This window comes from Homo sapiens, chromosome 9, assembly GCF_000001405.40.
Source record: "Homo sapiens chromosome 9, GRCh38.p14 Primary Assembly".
Lineage (NCBI taxonomy): Eukaryota > Metazoa > Chordata > Mammalia > Primates > Hominidae > Homo > Homo sapiens.
Window position 1 is genome coordinate 130238191 of NC_000009.12, and position 18703 is coordinate 130256893.

Below are 18703 nucleotides of genomic sequence, written 5' to 3' on the forward strand. Positions count from 1 at the left end.
GGCAAATGATTCATTCACCTCATCTGACTTTTGCACCTGTGATGGGCCAGGCGCAGGGGGCCTAGAGATTGGTTGCTGACCACATGGAGGGTTGCGTCGGGAGGGAAGGTGGGGAGATGAGTAGCTCTTGTGCAAGCTCCCAGCAGGCACCCCGAGAGGTGGCAGTCTGTGTGGCTGCCCTCCCCCGAGTCACCCTTGGCCTGGAGCCTGGGATAGAGGAGAGCCCTCCTCTTCCCCCTCTGGTCAAGTAACCCCGTGTTTGCTCAGTATGCATGGGCCCTGCCATGTTGGGGAGAGGGGGATCAGAGGAGGTGGTGGTTTTCACTTTCGTAGCTTGTTAAAGGAACACGAATTCAGAGAGCAACAAAAGCCAGCGCGGACTCAGGAACATAACTGTCAGTTAGAATTCATTGCTCTTGGCCAAAAGCTCTTGAAAGACGCATGAAGCGTGTAGATTGATAAGATCAAGCAGCCCATGTTAGAATGAACCACCACCTGCAAACACAGGCCACGTTTCAGACATGTTTCAGAGTGAAAGGAATCATCAGATCGCCACCACCTTCCAGGCAAAGCTGAAGGCCCAATGTGACTTCCGCTTTGGGGTTGAAGCAACCGTTGAGAAGTGGATGCAGCGATGTCACCCTCTGTGGCCACGCTGGGCATCCAGCATTGTGCGTTGCTCTGGCGGGTCCTAGAGTGAAGATGCCAGAACTCCCCAGACCCTCAAGAGGGTTCCAAAGGCAGCATGGAAAGGCAGTGTGGGACGGTGATTGGGGCCACAGGTTGTGGAATCTGACCTGGTTCCCAGCCAGGCTCTACCACTTGACGCTGGGCATGTGTTCTGACAGACAGGGTTTTCTGGTAAAAAAGTGGACCCTCGGCCGGGCGCGGTGGCTCACGCCTGTAATCCCAGCACTTTGGGAGGCCGAGTCAGGCGGATCATGAGGTCAGAAGATTGAGACCATCCTGGCTAACATGGTGAAAGCCCGTCTCTACTAAAACTACAAAAAATTAGCCAGGCGTGGTGGCAGGTGCCTGTGGGAGGCTGAGGCAGGAGAATGCCGTGAACCCGGGAGGCGGAGCTTGCAGTGAGCCGAGATCGCGCCACTGAACTCCAGCCTGGCAACAGAGCGAGACTCCGAGACTCCGTCTCAAAACAAACAGACAAAAACCCCATGGACCCTCAATGAGAGGCAGGCGATGGCTCGACAGCCCCTGCCCCACAACCTCGCCAGAGGTGGAATGTTGCAATGAAGGCAGGTATTAGATCAAATTCTGCCAGAAGTCCAGATATTCACTGTCAAGTAAGTACAAAGACAGGCAGGCACCTGTACCTGTCCATCCAGGGGGTGGGGGCCCCAGGACCCCAGGAGCCCTGCCCCTGAGCACAGTCCTGAAGCACCAGGCTGCTTGCTGCTCTTCCCTTGTGGTGCACAGTGCTGAGCTCTGAAAATCTTTGTAGCCAAGCATGTATCTTCACCACATTACACTTCTATGAAAAGGGACTTCTAACATCCTTTGTGTGGATAAAATCTGTGGTGTAGGTTTTAATAAAAGTACATATTTAAAATGCTAATATGACACCCTCTGGAGGGCTGATTCCTGACTAGACTGTTTCACACACTTGGGGACTGTCCCTGAGGCAGAGATTGGAGGTAATTTACATACCCACACAATGTGCTGTTTCCACCGAAGCACTGAAAGTAAATCTGTGCACGGGCGCCTGTCTTTGGAAATACCAAGCTCTGGTTCAGAAGGCCGTTGTGAGGGCAGCTGGGGCAATGTTTCCAGCAGAGGGTGAGCTTGAACGGGGGTGAGCTGTTGGTGGAGGAAGCTCAGGTCTTTTCCAGCAGCCTTGGGCGTGGTGCCTACAGGGACCACGGTTCAGAAATGGTGTTGCTGAGGGCACATGATGGGTCATGGTCCCTTGCTCTGCTCGAGTCAGGCTAAAGCCTGTGCTGACTCACCCCCTGGCCCAGCCTGCGCTGGATGGCTTACTGTGGGCTGAAGCTCAGTAGAGGCACAGACCTGGCCACCTGCTTTATCAGGATGGCTCAGATTGGCTGCTATTCCCTGGGTGTGATAGCACCAGTGAGTCCTCCTAGAGGGACCATCCTAGAGGTCCCATTTCTCCCCACCTCGGGCCTTCCACCCTGTCCCCACTGACCCTGCCAAGCCCCAAACTCACATCTGCATATTAGAAAGTATCTCTCTAAATTGTACTCCCCAAAGCCCAGCTCAGGGCATCCCCAGGCATACAGAGGAGATGACAAGGAGAAGAGTAGGGAGTCGGGCTGGGAGTGGGAATGCAATGTGGATCCCTGCCCTACAGTGGCCCCCTCCTCCCTGCCATCTTCCTGCCCAGGGAGTACAGAGGCAGAAACTTACCCTCCAGGTTCATTGGTCTGGAGGAACTGGTTCAGGACAGTGGGCATGGAAAGGGGCTGGGAAGGCCCCCTGAACTTAGGCAAAATGAGCTTGTGTAGGTATGGAAAAGCTTTCTACTTCTTCCCCTTATCTCTTTTTAGCTGGGCACAGGGCCATGTGGAACAAAGGACTACATTTCCCAGCCTCCCTTGTGGCTGAGTGCGGCCATGTGACCCAGTTCTATCCAATAGGATGAGAACAATGAGCATAACTTTCCCTCTTCCCTCTTCCTGCTGACTGGATGGAGGACTCTGAAACAAGCCTTCCTAGAACTGGGTCTTTGACCCCATGGAGCTGCCACACCAGCTTTGGACCATTTACACTGGAGCTCTTAGGAGGAAGAGAGACACACATTTATCTTGATTAAGCCATCCTGAGTCTCTGTGTCAACAGCCCAATTTATATTCTCCCTAATGTACCCAGTGATCTGCTGGGTCGCTTTCAATGACCTGATGCCACCTGCAAATGTTTGCATCGAAACTCTCAATGTTTGCCAAAGTGACTTAATAAACAACCATACAGTGCCATGTGCTGGTGTAACTACTGCTTGCTCATGCCTTTCCCACCCGTCTTCTGCCTTTTCCCTCTTCCTGTCCCAATATGCCCTCCTCCTCCAAGGGCTCAGGGGACTGAGGGTCCCAGCCAGAGGGACTCCTGTGGGAAAGACTTTCTTTTGCAGAAGCACTAGGGACCTAGAGGCTCTAGGTTATTGGGGAGCCCAGGGCAGCCCCTGAGGACCGGGCCAGTTGGGTTTTCACTGGGTAACCACAGGAAGGGGACTGGGCAGGCTGGCCTAGGGTTGAGCTCAGGAAGGATTCTGCCAGGGGTTTCAAGACTTGGGGACCAGACCTTTTCTTGTCTCTACAATTTCCTTCCTCAGAAATTGCTCCCTTCCTCCCAGAAACCTAAAATAAGCCATCCACATGAGCAGATCTTGGGGATAAAAAAATATGATAAAGAGTAAAACAAGCTTTTTTCTGACAGTCAGGGAGAAGGGTGGGAAGAGTCCCTTTGGTATCATTGTCAGATGACTGAGAGTAGGTCCCGTTTTAGTCACTGGACTGTTGGTTGCCCCCAGAGGTGAGGGGAAGTCTTTGTGATATTGTGGAGTGCCCACTTTATTCTTTGAGGATTCTGAAGACCCAATTCCTATGTTGGGCATCAAGAGGCCCTTCCTGCCTTAGAAGGGGCAGATCTGTGGAATGCCAGGGGCCCGAGCTGGGACCTGCAGGGGAAGGTGCAAGTGCTGGCCTGGAAGGAGGGAGAAAGGGAGCTCCCAGGCCAGACGTGGTGGCTCACGCCTGTAATCCCAGCACTTTGGGAGGCTGAGACAGGCGGATCACTTGAAGCCAGGAGTTCGAGACCAGCCTGGTCAACATGGTGAAACTCCACCTCTACCAAAAATACAAAAATTAGCTGGGCATGGTGGCGTGTGCCTGTAATCTCAGGTAGTCGGGAGGCTGAGGCAGGAGAACCGCTTGAACCCAGGAGGTGGAGGTTGCAGTGGGCCGAGATCACACCACTGCACTCCAGCCCGGGTGACAGAACGAGACTCCATCTCAAAAAAAACAAAAAGCAAAAAACAAAGGGAGCTCCCAGTCATGGGAAGGGAATCAGAGGGAACCCTGAGGTTCGGATTCTACCCCCATGCTCGTCCATCAGATCAACTAATACAAGCTGGATGCTGCTTAAGTGATTTCTAGGCAGAAGCCTAAAGCTAACCAGAATCCTTCACCCATTTCCACAGGGATGAATGAGAGCCTGGAGTGTATATGCTGGGCAGCCACAGTGCCAGGCTTCTGCCACAGCCTGTGATGAATGCTAGCCTGGTTCAAGAAGGAAGGCCGGGGGCGGTGGCTCATGCCTGCAATTCCTGCACTTTGGGAGGCCGAGGTGGGTGGATCACTTGAGGTCAGGAGTTCGAGACCAGCCTGGGCAACATGGCAAAACCCCATCTCTACAAAATACAAAAAAATTAGCCAGGCATGGTGGCACTCACCTGCAGTCCCAGCTACTCAGGAGGCTGAGATGAGAGAATTGCTTGGGCATAGTGAGGTCGAGGCTGCAGTGAGCCGTCATAGTGCCACTGCACTCCAGCCTGGGTGACAGAGAATGAGACTCTGTCCAAAAAAAAAAAAAAAAAAAAAAACAACAGCAGTAGCACACACAGGAAGGTTATGGACACCAGCCACAGATGGGCAGTGCCAGGCCAGTGACGCAGTATCGGGCGGGGATTGGGCTACTCTCCCTACCTCACTCCCCAGGGGCCTCCCTGGACAAGGGGAAACTTCAGCTACCCTTAAAGGATGGCAGGATGTACATGGGCAAGGAGGAGAGGCAAGGGCATTCCAGGCAGTGTACAGTAGGTGCAGAGGAAGGACTGCAGGAAATCGACACACAGGGGAAGAGAGGAATGCAAAGGAGTTAACGGCAGGTGCCTCCATGGCAATGAGACAGTAGATTTTTCCAGTGGATGACTCCGCACAGAAAGAAGAGGCACGAGGTCACCTTTTAAGAATTGATGCTGACTGGTACAGGCCTGGGCGCTCTGAGCACACAGCACCGAGGTCCGCCTTTCTGAGCTTCTTGGGAAGCCCCGCGGAACGGCTGTTCTCTGTAACTCCGCCCATTTTAACGATTAGCAAAGTGATAACAGGGACGAGCCAGGTCATAGCAACGGAAGCGGAGTGCTTGCCCTGTGCTGGGTTCACCCGCATTATCGCATTTAATCCTTGCAGCAGCGCCCCTTGAGGCCGGTGCTGGTATTACCATCCCACATTTTACAGACGAGGTCGCTGAGGCCCAGGGTGAAGGGGCTCCTCCAGTCTGACAGTTCGTGGGGGGCTTCCAGGCTCCGACGACATTGTCTTTGGTCAGACACAGGGAGCTGGGGGAGACTGCTTCTATTAAGTTCAGATCCGGCAGCGGCTTATTGCCCTGGTCCCTCCCAGATGCCTGTCGCGTGGGGAGGCGAGGTCTGCAGGGGAAGGCGCATGCCCCACTGAGATCCGTCAGTGCGGGCCCCGTGTCTGGAGGGAGAAGCAGCTCGGAGGTGGGTTGGAGGAGGCAGGGAGACTGAGGCAGGGGCAGGGGTCTGGGCCCACGAAGGAGGTCCCTCCCACAGCCTGCCAAGCACTGGGGGCACTGGATCCCAAGAGTGCCCCAGGGCCCCATTCCCAGGGGGGTGGCCACTCAGGTAAGCACTGTGGGCAAAGGTTGGGGGTGCTGAGTCTGGGGGCAGGACGGGGTGTGCCCCAGGGAGGGGTCCCCAGGGCACAGGAATGGAAATGGCAAGTGTGGGTAGGCAGGGTCTCAGGCACCCCTCCCAGCCCGGGCACACCCAGAGCTGCAGGTGGGGTTACCCGTGGGACTCCCTGTGCACCGTGTTACCTGGCAGATGGTACCCGGACCCATGGCTTGCATGCTGCTGCTGCCACCATTGTGGTCACTGCTATGCTCATGACCGGCTCTCAGCCCCTCCTGGCCCGTGGCTCTGCCACCACCGCTCCTGTGTGCTGTTCCTCTTATGCCCCATGAGGTAGCTACAGTTGTCCCCAGTTCCAGATGAGGAAACAGCTTCAGAGAGGCTCACTGACTTGCCTGGGGTCACACAGCTGATAAATGGCAGAGAGGGGGCCAGGCACGGTAGCTCACGCCTGTAATCCCAGCACTTTGGGAGGCCGAGGCGGGTGGATCCTGAGGTCAGGAGTTTGAGACCAGCCTGGCCAACATGGTGAAACCCTGTCTCTACTAAAAATACAAAAATTAGCCGGGCGTGGTGGCAGGTGCCTGTAATCCCAGCTACTCAGGAGGCTGAGGCAGGGAATTGCTTGAACCTGGGAGGTGGAGGTTGCAGTGAGCTGAGATCACGCCACTGCACTCCAGCCTGGGCGACAGAGTGAGACTCTGTCTCAAAAAAAAAAAAAAAAAAAAAAAGGCAGAGGGGATTTGAGGCCAACTGGACCCCAAACTGTGACCACCACCGTGACGCATCACCTTTGGCCTGATGTCCTCTCCCTTGGGTCACCTAGAACCAGCACTTCCCAGAATCTGAAATTTTCCACGAGGCCACAGGGCTGAGCCCTCGTGTGAGGAGAAGCCACCTTCCTGGTGCAAGCACAAGTCAGATCCGTGGCTCCTCGGAACCACCCAGCCCCAGTGGCCACAGGGCAGCAGGTGTCCTTGGCTGACTTCTGGCCTCTCCCTGCCAGGGGCTCTCCCAGAAGTAAAGGAAGGTGATGAACCGGCCACTCCCATAAGCCCTGAGACCCCCGAGGCCTCGGCCCCATCCTCACCCTCCTAACCAGTCTTGCGACAGGGCTGGAGAAAGGGTTTCCCCCATAAGAGGGACTCTGATTGGCCAGTGGGGGACCTAGGGAGGCCTGGGATATGACGGGCAGGTGGGGCTGGAGAAAGCCGGCTCTCTTTGGTGCTCTTGGCTGGTTTTCAAATGTCTTGAAGCTACTGTGGTTGCCATACCCATCTGGCTGTAAATTAAATTTGGGGCGAAGGGACCTCTTGTCCCAAAGTTTCTCATCTCATCCAGCATGACTGGCAGTTAAGGTTCCTTCTCTGGGTTCCAGTGCTGGCTGCATCCCCACCAGCAGTTGGCTTTGGAGATAGACTGAATCTGAACTTCTCTGAGCTTCAGTTTCCTCCTCTTTAAAGTGAGGATAATAGAAGCACGTTTCTCATAGGGCTGCTGGGGAGCATCTGTGTGATGCTCAGATGATCTGTCTGAGGGCCTTTCCTACGTGAAAACAGTGAATGTCATTGATATTATCCAATTCTCTCCACCCCAAAGTTGTTGCCCCTTCATTTTGGTCCATCGATTTGGCTATCAGCTTTTATTTCTTGCCACTTGGGCCATGGGTGAAGCTGCACTCAAGATCTGGGTCCAAGTCCAAAATTTCAGAGAGGAAAATACCTTGAAACAGGAGCCTGTCATGAACTAGTCGATAGCAGAGGGAGGCTCCCCACTGCCAACATGACCTCTGCCCCACCAACCCCAAGGGGCCCCCCACAACCACCCAGGGAGCTATCTCTGGGGCACCTGGCCCGGGCGCAGTGGCGCACGCCTGTAATTCCTCCCTTGGGAGGCCGAGGCGCGTGGATCACTTGAGGTAAGGAGTTCGAGACCAGCCTGGCCAATATGGTGAAATCCTGTCACTATTAAAAATACAAAATTTAGCCAGAAATCTCTTAAACCTGGGAGGTGGAGGTTGCAGTGAGCTGAGATCGCACCGCTGTACTCCAGCCTGAGTGACAGAGTGAGACTTTATCTGAAAAAAAAAAAAAAAAAAAAATTGGTCTGGCCCTTGCCCCCGCTTTTTCTGGAGCCACGAGGACCCATATAGCCAGATAAATAGGAAAACTGGAGCCCCAGGGCCTGTGATGAGTTTACATCAAATAGAGCCCTGCTATATGCAATCACTGTCACTAGAATCACTACTTGGAAATTCCCCAGCTCAATCCCCAGCACAAAGTGGGCTAAGCTTTTGCTCAGTGCCAGAGAAAAACTGAGAGGTTAGAAAGATGCAGGTGACAGAGAAGGATGATAAAATGATGTTTCCCATCAAGTGAAATGAAAGGTTTTGCAATGTGTTCCTCTGTTTCCTTACAAGTAGGAACAGCCTCTCCAGGGAGCACCAGCTTGGAGGACACATAGCCACTCCCAGAGCCCCGGTCCCTGCTGTCCATAGGGGTAGCACGTCACCAGCACCATGTCCTGGCCTCTGAGTCAACAAGACCAGGCTGAGACCCAGTGGAAGCACCAGCTGGTGACTCTGAGCAGCTTCTTTTCCCTAATCTCTCTTTTTTTCTTTTCTTTTTTTTGAAACAGGGCCTTACTCTTTTATCCAGGCTGGAGTACAGTGGTGTGATCATAGCTCACTGCAGTCTCGAACTCTTGGCCTTAGGTGATCCTCCCATGTCAGCCTCCCAAGTAGCTGAGACTACAGTCACATGCCATCACACCCGGCCTGTTCCCTAATCCTTTGTGTATGTGTGTATTAAGTTGATAATTATAAAAAATAATATACTTTGCACCTTAATGCTATGAGTGAGTGCTCTTCAACTATGAAGAACAAGATTAAATTATATCCAACGGAATGAGCTTGAAATGTTTAACAAATCCATACCAAAAAACACAGAAGAAAAAGCCTTTTTATTCCAATGAAGCTTGGGTGTTACTTCCATGAATGTTCCTTCCAAAACACGTGTTTGAAATGTAATTGCCATTGTGACAGTATTACGAGCTGGTGCTTTAGGAAGTGGTTAGGCCATGACAGTTCTGCCCTCATGAGTGGGTTAATGCCTTGGTTGGGTACGGTGGCTTACACCTGTAATCCCAGCACTCCGGGAGGCTGAGGCAGACAGATCACTTGAAGTCAGGAGTTAGAGACCAGCCTGGCCAGCATGGTGAAACCCCGTCTCTACCAAAAAATACAAAAATTAGCCAGGTGTGGTAGCACATGCCTGTAATCCCAGCTACTCAGGAGGCTGAGGTGGGATAGTCACTTGAACCTGGGAGGCAGAGGTTGCAGTGAGCCGAGATCAAACCACTGCACTCCAGTCTGGGTGACAGAGTGAGACCCTGTCTCAAAAAAATTTTAAAAAGGCGGGCTTTGAGGAGTGGGTTCTTTCTTTCTCACGCTCACTTGCCCTTCCACCTTCTGCCATGGGATGACACACCATGAAGGCCCTTACAAGGTGCTGGCACCTTGATATTGAACTTCTCAGTCTCCAGAACTGTGAGAAATAAATTTCTTTTTTCTTTTCTTTTCTTTTCTTTTTTTTTTTTTTTTTGAGACGGAGTTTTGCTCTTGTTGCCCAGGCTGGAGTGCCATGGCACAATCTTGGTTCACCGCAACCTCCACTTCCCACGTTCAAGCGATTCTTTTGCCTCAGCCTCCCGAGTAGCTAAGATTACAGGTACGTGCCACCATGCCCGGCTAAATGTGTACTTTTAGTAGAGACAGGGTTTCACCATATTGGTCAGGTTGGTCTCAAACTCCTGACCTCAGGTGATCCACCTGCCTCAGCCTCCCAAAGTGTTGGGATTACAGGCGTTGAGTCACAATGCCAGGCCACATTATGAATTTTGATAAAGTCAGCTTCTCAAGTTTTCCTGTCATAGACTGTGCTTTTGGTGTCATGTGTAAGAACTCTCTGCCTATCCTCAGGTGGTGAATATTTGTTCTCCTGTGTTTCTTCTAAAAGTTTGAAAGTTTTGGCCAGGCGCGGTGGCTCATGCCTATAATCCCAGCACTTTGGGAGACTCAGGCGGGCGGATCACGAGGTCAGGAGATCGAGACCATCCTGGCTAACACGGTGAAACCCCGTCTCTACTAAAAACACAAAAAATTAGCCGGGCGTGATGGCGGGTGCCTGTAGTCCCAGCTACTCGGGAGGCTGAGGCAGGAGAATGGCGTGAACCCGGGAGGCGGAGCTTGCAGTGAGCTGAGATCGCGCCACTGCACTCCAACCTGGGCGACAGACCGAGACTCCGTCTCAAAAAAAAAAAAAAGTTTGAGAGTTTTATGTTTTTTCTATTTAGACCTATGACTTATTTTGAATTAATTTTTGTATAAGGTGTGAGGTTTAGGTCAAGGTTCATTTTTTGTTTATTATTATTTGTTTTTTCTTTTGCATACGGACGTCCAATTGTTCTAAGGCCATATGTGGGAAAGAATATCCTGTCTCCACAGAATTGCCTTCGCACCTTTATCAAAAATCAATTGGCCAGGCCGGGTGCGGTGGCTCACGCCTGTAATCCCACACTTTTGGAGGCGGAGGCGGGTGGTCAGGAGTTAGAGACCAGCCTGGCCAACACGGTGAAACCCCGTTTCTACTAAAAAATACAAAAAATTAGCTGGGCGTGGTGGCGCACTTCTGTAGTCCCAGCTACTCGGGAGGCTGAGGCAGGAGAATCGCTTGAACCCAGGAGGCAGAGGTTGCAGTGAGCCAAGATCGCGCCACTGCACTCCAGCCTGGCAACAGAGTGAGACTCCATCTAAAAAAAAAAAAAAAAAAAAAATCAATTGGCCATAATTGTGTGGTCTATTTCTGGACTTCCGATTCTGTTCCACTGATCTATGCATCCCTTTGCCAATATCACACTGTCTTAATAACTGCTGCTGTACAGTAAGTCTTATAATTCAGTAGTGAAATTCCTCCCACTTTGTTTTCATTTTTCAAAATTGTCTTGGGTATTTCTTTTGCCATTTCAGTATAAATTTCAGAATCAGCTTGTTTATACCTTCAAAAAAACCTGCTGCAATTTTCACTGGAATTGCATTACGTCTACAGATCAATTACTGTGTTTAGCCTTCCAGTCCATACACGAGTATGTATTTCCATTTCTTTAGGTTTCTTTGCTCGCTTTCATCAGCATTTGTATTAGTTTTCAGCACATGAATCCTGTGTACAGTTTGTTAGATTTATACCTAATATTTTATTTTGGGGAGCGATTGTAAATTATAAATTATAATTATAATAAATTATTAATTATATTATTAATATAATTAATATAATACAATTAACAATTGTATTATTTAAAAATTTTTGATTTCCAATGGTTCCTTACTAGTGTATACAAATAAGATTAATTTTTGCATGTTGACCTTGATCCTACCACTTGCTAAACTCACTTATTAGCTGTGAGATTTTTGAGGGGTAAATTCACTGGAATTTTCTATTCTGATAATCATTCACCTGAAAACATGAACAGTTTTACTTCTTCCTTTTCAATCTATATGCCTTTTATTTTTCTTGCCTTACTGAGCTGAATAGAACATCCTGTATAATGTTAAACAGGAGTGGGGAGTGTAGACATCCTTGTCTTGTTCCCAATTTTAGGGGGAAAGTGTTCTCTCACCAGCAGGTATGATGTTAGCTGTAGTTTTGTGGGGTTTTTTTGTTTTTTGTTTTTTGTTTTTTTGTAGATGCCATTTATCAAATTAAGTAAATTCCATTCCTTTCTTATTTGCTGAGAGTTTTTTCATGAATGGATATTGAATTTTGTCAAATGCTTTCTCTGAATCAATTGATATGATTGTATGGTTTTCTTCTTCAGGCTGTTCATATGGTGAATTACCCATCGATTGTTTTTGAAAATGGAGCTAGTCTTTCATTCCTGGGAAAAGCCCTACTTAGTCTTGGGTAGTATTCTTTTTATGTGTTTCTGAATTTGATTTTGATTTGCTAAGATTTTGTTGAGGATTTTTGCATCTATGTTCATCTGAAATATTGGTTTGTAGTTTTTGCTTATTATAGGTCTTTAGTTTTGGTGTCAAAATGAGTTAGAAAGTGTTCCCTTCTCCTTTATTGAGTAGAATTGATTTTTTTTTTCTTTAAACGTTTGGTATAATTCAGCAATAATCCATCTTGGCATGAAACCTTCCTTTTTAAAAAGTTTTACAAATTCAATTCCTTTTCTCTCTTGTTCCTCCCTTCTTCCCTCCCTCCTTCCCTCCCTCCCTTCCTCTTCCCTTCCCCTTCCCCTTCTTTCTTTTTTGAGACAGGTCTCACTCTGTTGCTCAGGCTGGAGTACAGTGGCAGCATCATGGCTCACTGCAGTCTCGATCTCCCTGGACTCAGGTGATCCTCCCACTTCAGCCTCCCGAGTAGCTGGGACTACAGGTGCATGCCACTGCACCCAGTTAATTTTTTTGTATTTTTTGTAGAGACAGGGTTTCACCATGTTGCCAAGGCTGGACTCGAATTCCTGACCTCAAACAATCTGACCACCTTGGCCTCCCAAAGTGCTAAGATTACAGGTGTGAGCCGTTGTGCCTGGCCACAAATCCAATTTCTTTAGTAGTTATAGTATAATTCAGATGATCTGTTTCATCTTGGGAGAGTTTTGGTACTTTGTAGTTTTGGAGGAATTTATCCATTTCATCTAACCTGTTGGGTGTATGTTCATAGTTGTTCAGACTATTCCCTTATTGTCCTTTTAATGTCTGTGGGGCCTGTAGTTTTATGCCTTCTTTCATTCCTAGTATTGATAATTTTTCTCTTTTTCTCTGTCAGTCTTTCTGGAAGTTTATCAATTTTAATGATTTTTCAAAGAACCAGCTTTTGGTTTCATCAATTTTTTCTAATTTCTACATTATTGATTTCAGCTCTTTATTTCCTTCCTTCAGGTTTATATTTTGTGTTTCTTTAGTTTATTAAAGTGGAAGGTTAGATTGATTTGAGGCTTCTTCTTTTCTAATGCGAGCTTTTAATGCTATAAATTTTCCCCAAACCCTGCCTTACCTGCATCGTGAATATTTTGATATTGTATTTTATTTTCCTTATTGATTTCCAGTCTAATTCCATGATAGTCGAAGAACATACTTTATATATCTTAATTCTTTTGAATTTCTTAAGGTTTGTTATGACCCAGGATTTGTTCTATCTTGGTGACTGTTCCAGTTGCAATAAAAAAGAATGTGTATTCTGATATTGTTGGGTGGAGTATTCTCTAAATGTCAACGAGATACAGGTGGTTGATGGTAAGGTCATTCTGTATCCTTGCTGATTTTCTATCTACTAGTTTTATCAATCTACTGAGAGAAGTTGAGCCACCATATGCAGAAATTGGTCAAGTAGAGGACAAAATGCTACTTCTGAAGGACAAGATGACTTGGTCACCCAGTAGTCTGAGTCAGAGCATCGTGCTGGGTCTTCATGGCAACACTGGGGTCATTAACTGCACCATCTTGGGAGAGAGACACACATTGGTTTGAATCTTGCTAGTCCTCTTGCTCCAATGCTTGAGTTTCAGGCATCACCTGTGTATATCCAAACACATGTACGCTTTGCTTTTCTGTTGTTTTTCGTTTGTTTTATTTTTGAGGTGGAGTCTCACTCTGTCACTCAGGCTAGAGTGCAGTGGTGCGATCTTGGCTCACTGCAACCTCCGTCTCCCAGGTTCAAGTGATTCTCCTGCCTCAGCCTCCTGAGTAGCTGGGAGTACAGGTGCACGCCACCACACCCAGCTAATTTTTGTATTTTTAGTAGAGACGGGGTTTCACTATGTTGGCCAGGCTGGTCTCGAGCCCCTGACCTCAGGTGATCCACCCGCCTTGGCCTCCCAAAGTGTTGGGATTACAGGCCCACCGCGCCCAGCCTGTTTTGTTTTTTGATGAGGGCTGGCTGCAGTCTGGGTAATCATTGCCTTTTCCTCCTGATCTCCTAATGAACATTTTGTTGTTTTCTTTGAAGCTTTGTGGGCTGAAGGAGGTAATGGGTGGAGAAGTTAGGGGGGTGTCTAAAGGGGCTAAATTTATTTGCATTTTAAAAACAGCTCATTACTATTAGAAGGAGACAATTATACTTGATTTATTTATTTTTTTAGAGACAGGATCTTGCTCTGTCACCCAGGCTGGAATGCAATGGTGTGATCATGGCTCACCATAATCTTGAACTCCTGGCCTTAAGCAATCCTCCCACCTCAGCCTCCCAAGTAGCTGGGACCACAGGTGCACACCACTATGCCTAGCTGATTTTTAAATTTTTTTGTAGAAACAGGGTCTCACTGTGTTGTTCAGGGTGGTTTTAAACTCCTGGCCTCATGTGATCCTCCCACCTCAACCTCCCAAAGTGCTAAGATTATAGGTATGAGCCACTGCGCCTGGCTGGGGAAATCACAGATTTGGAAGGGAGAGGAGAGCTGAAGCAAGAGAAGAAGAGAATTTAGAGGAGCAGCTGTAAGGATGACAGGCATTGCGGGGAGACGTGTTGACAGGCGGTTTTTGGGAGGTTGAGCGGGTGCTTTTGAGGTGTGATTCTGCCTTTGCTAAGACTCCAAGAGTCTTCGGTAGGGAACTACTTAACTCTGATGCCTTTGAGTCTCACTTGTGTTTCTTTTGGCTATTATGCCTCACTGAGTGAGGCCTGAAGGTCAGACGGAGGCCAAGCCATCATGCTCAATGTGTTGATTTGAGGAATATCCTGCAGAAGCTTTGGGTGGGGGTAAGGGGGTCGGGGGTTAGTCTTTCTCTCATTCCAGTCCCAAAAGGTACAGATTTGAGCTCCCCAAGCCAGGAGGGGAGATTTGGCAAGAATGTTACAAGCTGGAATTCAGGGAACTCTTTAATTATTAAAGCACTGTATTTAAAGTGGATTGCTTTCTCCAAGAGCAGATTACCAACTCCCTCAGTGAGCACAGTTTTCTGGTTACATCAAAAAATATGGCCGGGCACGGTGGCTCACAGCTGTAATCCCAGCACTTTGGGAGGCTGAGGCGGGTGGATCACCTGAGGTCAGGAGTTCGAGACCAGCCTGGCCAACATGGCGAAACCCTGTCTCTACTAAAAATACAAAAATTAGCTGGGCGTGATGGTGGGCGCGTGTAATCCCAGCTACTGGGAGGCTGAGGCAGGAGAATCACTTGAACCGGGGAGGCGGATGTTGCAGTGAGCTGAGATTGCACCATTGAACTCTAGCCTGGGTGACAAGAGCGAAACTCTGTCTCAAAACAAAAAAACAACACAAAAATACATCTTTCCCTTCTTGAAGTTCACAGAGCTAGGAGGAACGACTTGGGGTGGGGCCTTAGAGATGTTTGGAAAAAAAAGGGGCCCAAACCCATCCCAAATCCTGAACCCACCCTTTCCATCCCCTTGTGCCTGACCTGTAAATGGAAACGAACTGTTAGCACCAATGCTAATCATAGCTTGTTGTACCCAGCAATTACTGAACATTTGCTTGATGCCAGATTATTTTTCATACGGTGCAAGGGCTTAGGCCAGGACCACTACTTAGGAAGATGTTCAGTTAATGTTTGCTGGCTGAGTGATGTTGGCCTCTGCTCTGCCAAAGATGTTTTTGTTCCCAGGGACTTCGTTTCGTTTAACTGTAAGTCACTTGTCATCTCAAGAGAAAGGCCCATGAGGCCATGTCCTGAATAAAGCAACATTTCTCCACCTCCATTACTTAGGACTTTTGTTACAAATGGCAAAAATCCAATCTAAATGAGCCTAAGCAAGAAAAGGGAATTTATAGGGCCAAGTGCAGTGGCTTATGCCTGTAATTCCAGCACTTTGGGAGGTCGAGGCGGGTGGATCACTTGAGGCCAGGAATTCGAGACCAGCCTGGGCAACATAGTGAGACCCCCCCCCGCCCCCCACCAACTCTACAAAATAAAAAATAAAAAAAAAATTAGCTGGGTGTGGCGGTGTGTATGTGGTCCCAGGTACTCAGGAGGCCAAGGTGGGAGAATTGCTTGAGCCCAGGAGCTCAAGGCTGCAGTGAACCTTTTTTTTTTTTTCTTTGAGATGGTGTCTCGCTCTGTTGTCCAGGCTGCAGTGCAATGGCACGATCTTGGCTCACTGCAACCTCTGCCTCCCCTGGGCTCAAGTGATTTTCCTGCCTCAGCTTCCTGAGTAGCTGGGATTACAGATGCCCACCACCACGCCCGGTTAATTTTTTGTGTTTTTAGTAGAGACGGGGTTTGTCCATGTTGGCCAGGTTGGTCTCGAAATCATGACCTCAAGTGATCCGCCCGCCTCGGCCTCCCAAAGTGCTGGTATTACAGACGTGAGCCACCGCGCCCGGCCTGCAGTGAAGCATTAGCACCACTGTACTCCAGCCTGGGTGGTGACAGAGGGAGACCTTGTCTCAAAAAAAAAAAAAAAGGAACTTATAGATTTGCATAATCATACTACAGACAGTATGGTGGGAGCGGGGACTCAAAGGATACCAGGCTTCTCTTCCTCTCTCTGCCTTCCTGTCTCTGTTGGCTTCACTCTCTCCTACTGTAGATGATCTCCTCCCTGAGGGTGGGGAACATAGCTGCTGGCCCCCGCGTGCACCACCCCGCCCCCGCCCCGCTTCCCCGTTTTATAGTCTTTGAGTTCCATGACCCCAGAAGGAAAGGGATTCTTCCACAGTAGAAGTAGAAACATCCCAGGGAAAGATATTGATTGGCTCTGTGTGGGTCACATGCCCAACTTTAGACCAATCACTGTAACTGGAGGGATGAGACACTATGATTGGTTCAGGTTGGGTCACATGACTACTCCAGCAGGGGTTTGTTGGAAGCCAGTACCAGAAGGAATGAGACGTTTTTTTTCTTTTTCTTTTTTGAGATAGGGTCTTGTTTTGTCACCCAGGCTGGAGTGCAGTCTCAACTCACTGCAACCTCGACATCCCGGGCTCAGGCAATTCTCCCATCTCAGCCCCTGAGTAGCTGGGACTACAGGCCTGCGCCACCACCAGCGGCTAATTTTTGTATTTTTTGTAGCGATGGGGTTTCGCCATGCTGCCCAAGCTTGTCTCAAATTTCCGGGCTCAAGTGATCCGCCCGCTTCCACCTCCGAAAGTGCTGAGATAACAGGCCTGAGCTAGTGCACCTGGGAACTGTGTTCTTAATTGCAGGCAACAGAAGCCAACTTTTGCTGATTTAAGCAGCACTATTAAGTGCTCACAGGTGAGCTACAGAATTCTGCTTGGCGCTACCGAGGCGGAAACAAGCCCTTGAAGGCATCGGAGCCCTAGTCTGACGACTAGAGGCTGTGGCTCACTCAACTGCCCCTACCACGCCAGGAACTTTTGCTGCTGCTGCCACTAAGGGGCCACCAGCTTCTTTGTGTCTCTGGTTCCAAATCCAAAGGCCAGCTCGAGTGTATTTGGTGGGCAGAGATTATGACAAGCCCCTGCCTCAGCTGCAGGAGAGGATGGGAAAGCGACTAGCTGGCAGCTTAGCATCTGCAGTAGCAAGCAAGTTCTGCATTCCACTCAGCCTCATAAGCAGGGGCATTCCCAAACTCGATGTTTGGGTGGCTCAAACTCAAGACAAATGTATATGTTGTATGTGTCTGTGCAGCCGCCACTAACCACTTTGTTCTTGATGCTTTCGTTCCTGGGATGTAGGCCTGTTTCCACTAAATGTCAAGCGAGATGTGATTACATCTCCTTTGCGAATGGAGTCCACCCCATAAATCTTGGCCCTTGGCAAGCAGCTCCTCTTCAGGCTATAAGAAGGTCATGGCTTGCTGTCTGGGCTGGGGAACATTTCTCTCCTTCAGATTTTCCAAATGGCGTTTCTTGGGAAGCAGCTCCAGACACCATTAATTAAACATCTTTAATCTGATTCCTTTTGCAATTCTCTGCTTTCATCAAAGGTCAACTGTCATGGCCCAATAGTTAGGATTGATCTTTTTCCTTGATGGACATCATCTTGGTGACACTGTGGATTCCTTAGTGGAGACTTCACAAGGCTAAATTGAATTGACAGGTACTTAAAGGAGACGAGTGGGGAGGGGTCCAAGGAGGTAAGAGAGCTCTGGCCTGGGCCAGAATCTATCACTCCCACTGCAGGAGCTGAGCTCAGCCTCACTTAAACGCAGAGGGTGGCCCCAGCTGGCCTCCCCAGGTCCCCTGGTCCTTTGAGATCCCCTTACTCTGGTTTTCTAGCCACCCTTCCCAGGCAGCCATACTGTTTTTTTAACGTGATAATTATAATCCCAGTGCTTTGGGAGGCTGAGGCAGGGGGATCGTTTCAGACCAGGAGTTCAAGACCAGCTTGGGCAATATAGTGAGATTCCTGTCTTTACAATTTTTTTTTTTTTAATTAGCTGAGGCTGGGTGCAGTGGCTCATGCCTGTAATCCCAGCACTTTGGGGGGCTGAGGTGGATGGATCATTTTAGGTCAGGAGTCCAAGACCAGCCTGGCCAACATGGCGAAACCCCATCTCTACTAAAAATACAAAAATGAGCCAGGCGTGATGGTGCATGCCTGTAGTCCCAGCTACTTGGGAGGCTGAGGCAAGAGAATCACTTGAGCCTGGTAGATGGAGGCTGCTGTAAGCTGTGATTGTGCCACTGCCCTCCAGCCTGGGCGACAGGCTGAACCTCTGTCTCATAAAAAACAAAACAAAACAAAAAAATTAGCTGAGCATGGTGGTGCATGCCTGTAGTCCCAGCTACTCAGGAGGTTGAAGTGGGAGGATCACTTGAGCCCAGGAGTTTGAGCCTGCAGTGAACCATGATCGTGCCACTGCACTCTAGCCTGGGTGACAGAGTGAGACCCTGTCTTAAAAAAAAAAAAAAAAAAAAAAAGATGAAATACACATAACATAAAATTCATCATTTTAATTATTTTAAAGTGTACAATTCAGCAGCATTGAGTACATTCACGATGTCTTGTGGTCATTACCACTATCTAGTTCCAGAACATTTCATCACCCCAAGAAGAAACCCTGTACCCATTTAGCAGTCACTCCTTATCTCTCCTATCTCCATCCCCTAGCAACCACTAAACTGTTTTCTGTCTTTGTGGAAT

The 18703-nt window shown here is 48.8% G+C and overlaps 1 non-coding gene across 1 annotated transcript, besides 3 other annotated features; it reads left to right on the top strand.

Annotated features, from left to right (window-relative positions):
* Window positions 1479–1658: an enhancer, noted in NCBI's record as "active region_29150". NCBI's record gives its function as "activates an Ori minimal core promoter by ATAC-STARR-seq in GM12878 lymphoblastoid cells {active_cell/tissue: GM12878}" and the evidence as "EXISTENCE:reporter gene assay evidence [ECO:0000049][PMID:35858748]".
* Window positions 1739–1918: an enhancer, noted in NCBI's record as "active region_29151". NCBI's record gives its function as "activates an Ori minimal core promoter by ATAC-STARR-seq in GM12878 lymphoblastoid cells {active_cell/tissue: GM12878}" and the evidence as "EXISTENCE:reporter gene assay evidence [ECO:0000049][PMID:35858748]".
* Window positions 2440–2734: an enhancer, noted in NCBI's record as "tiled region #4503; HepG2 Activating non-DNase unmatched - State 4:PromP, and K562 Activating DNase matched - State 5:Enh". NCBI's record gives its function as "activates a minimal TATA promoter and a strong SV40 promoter by Sharpr-MPRA in HepG2 and K562 cells {active_cell/tissue: HepG2 | K562}" and the evidence as "EXISTENCE:reporter gene assay evidence [ECO:0000049][PMID:27701403]".
* Window positions 3197–3298, top strand: MIR12126 (microRNA 12126). Its single transcript, NR_162140.1, has one exon. It is a non-coding gene; the product is annotated as a microRNA 12126 (primary transcript).
* The last annotated feature ends 15405 nt before the right edge of the window (window positions 3299–18703 follow it).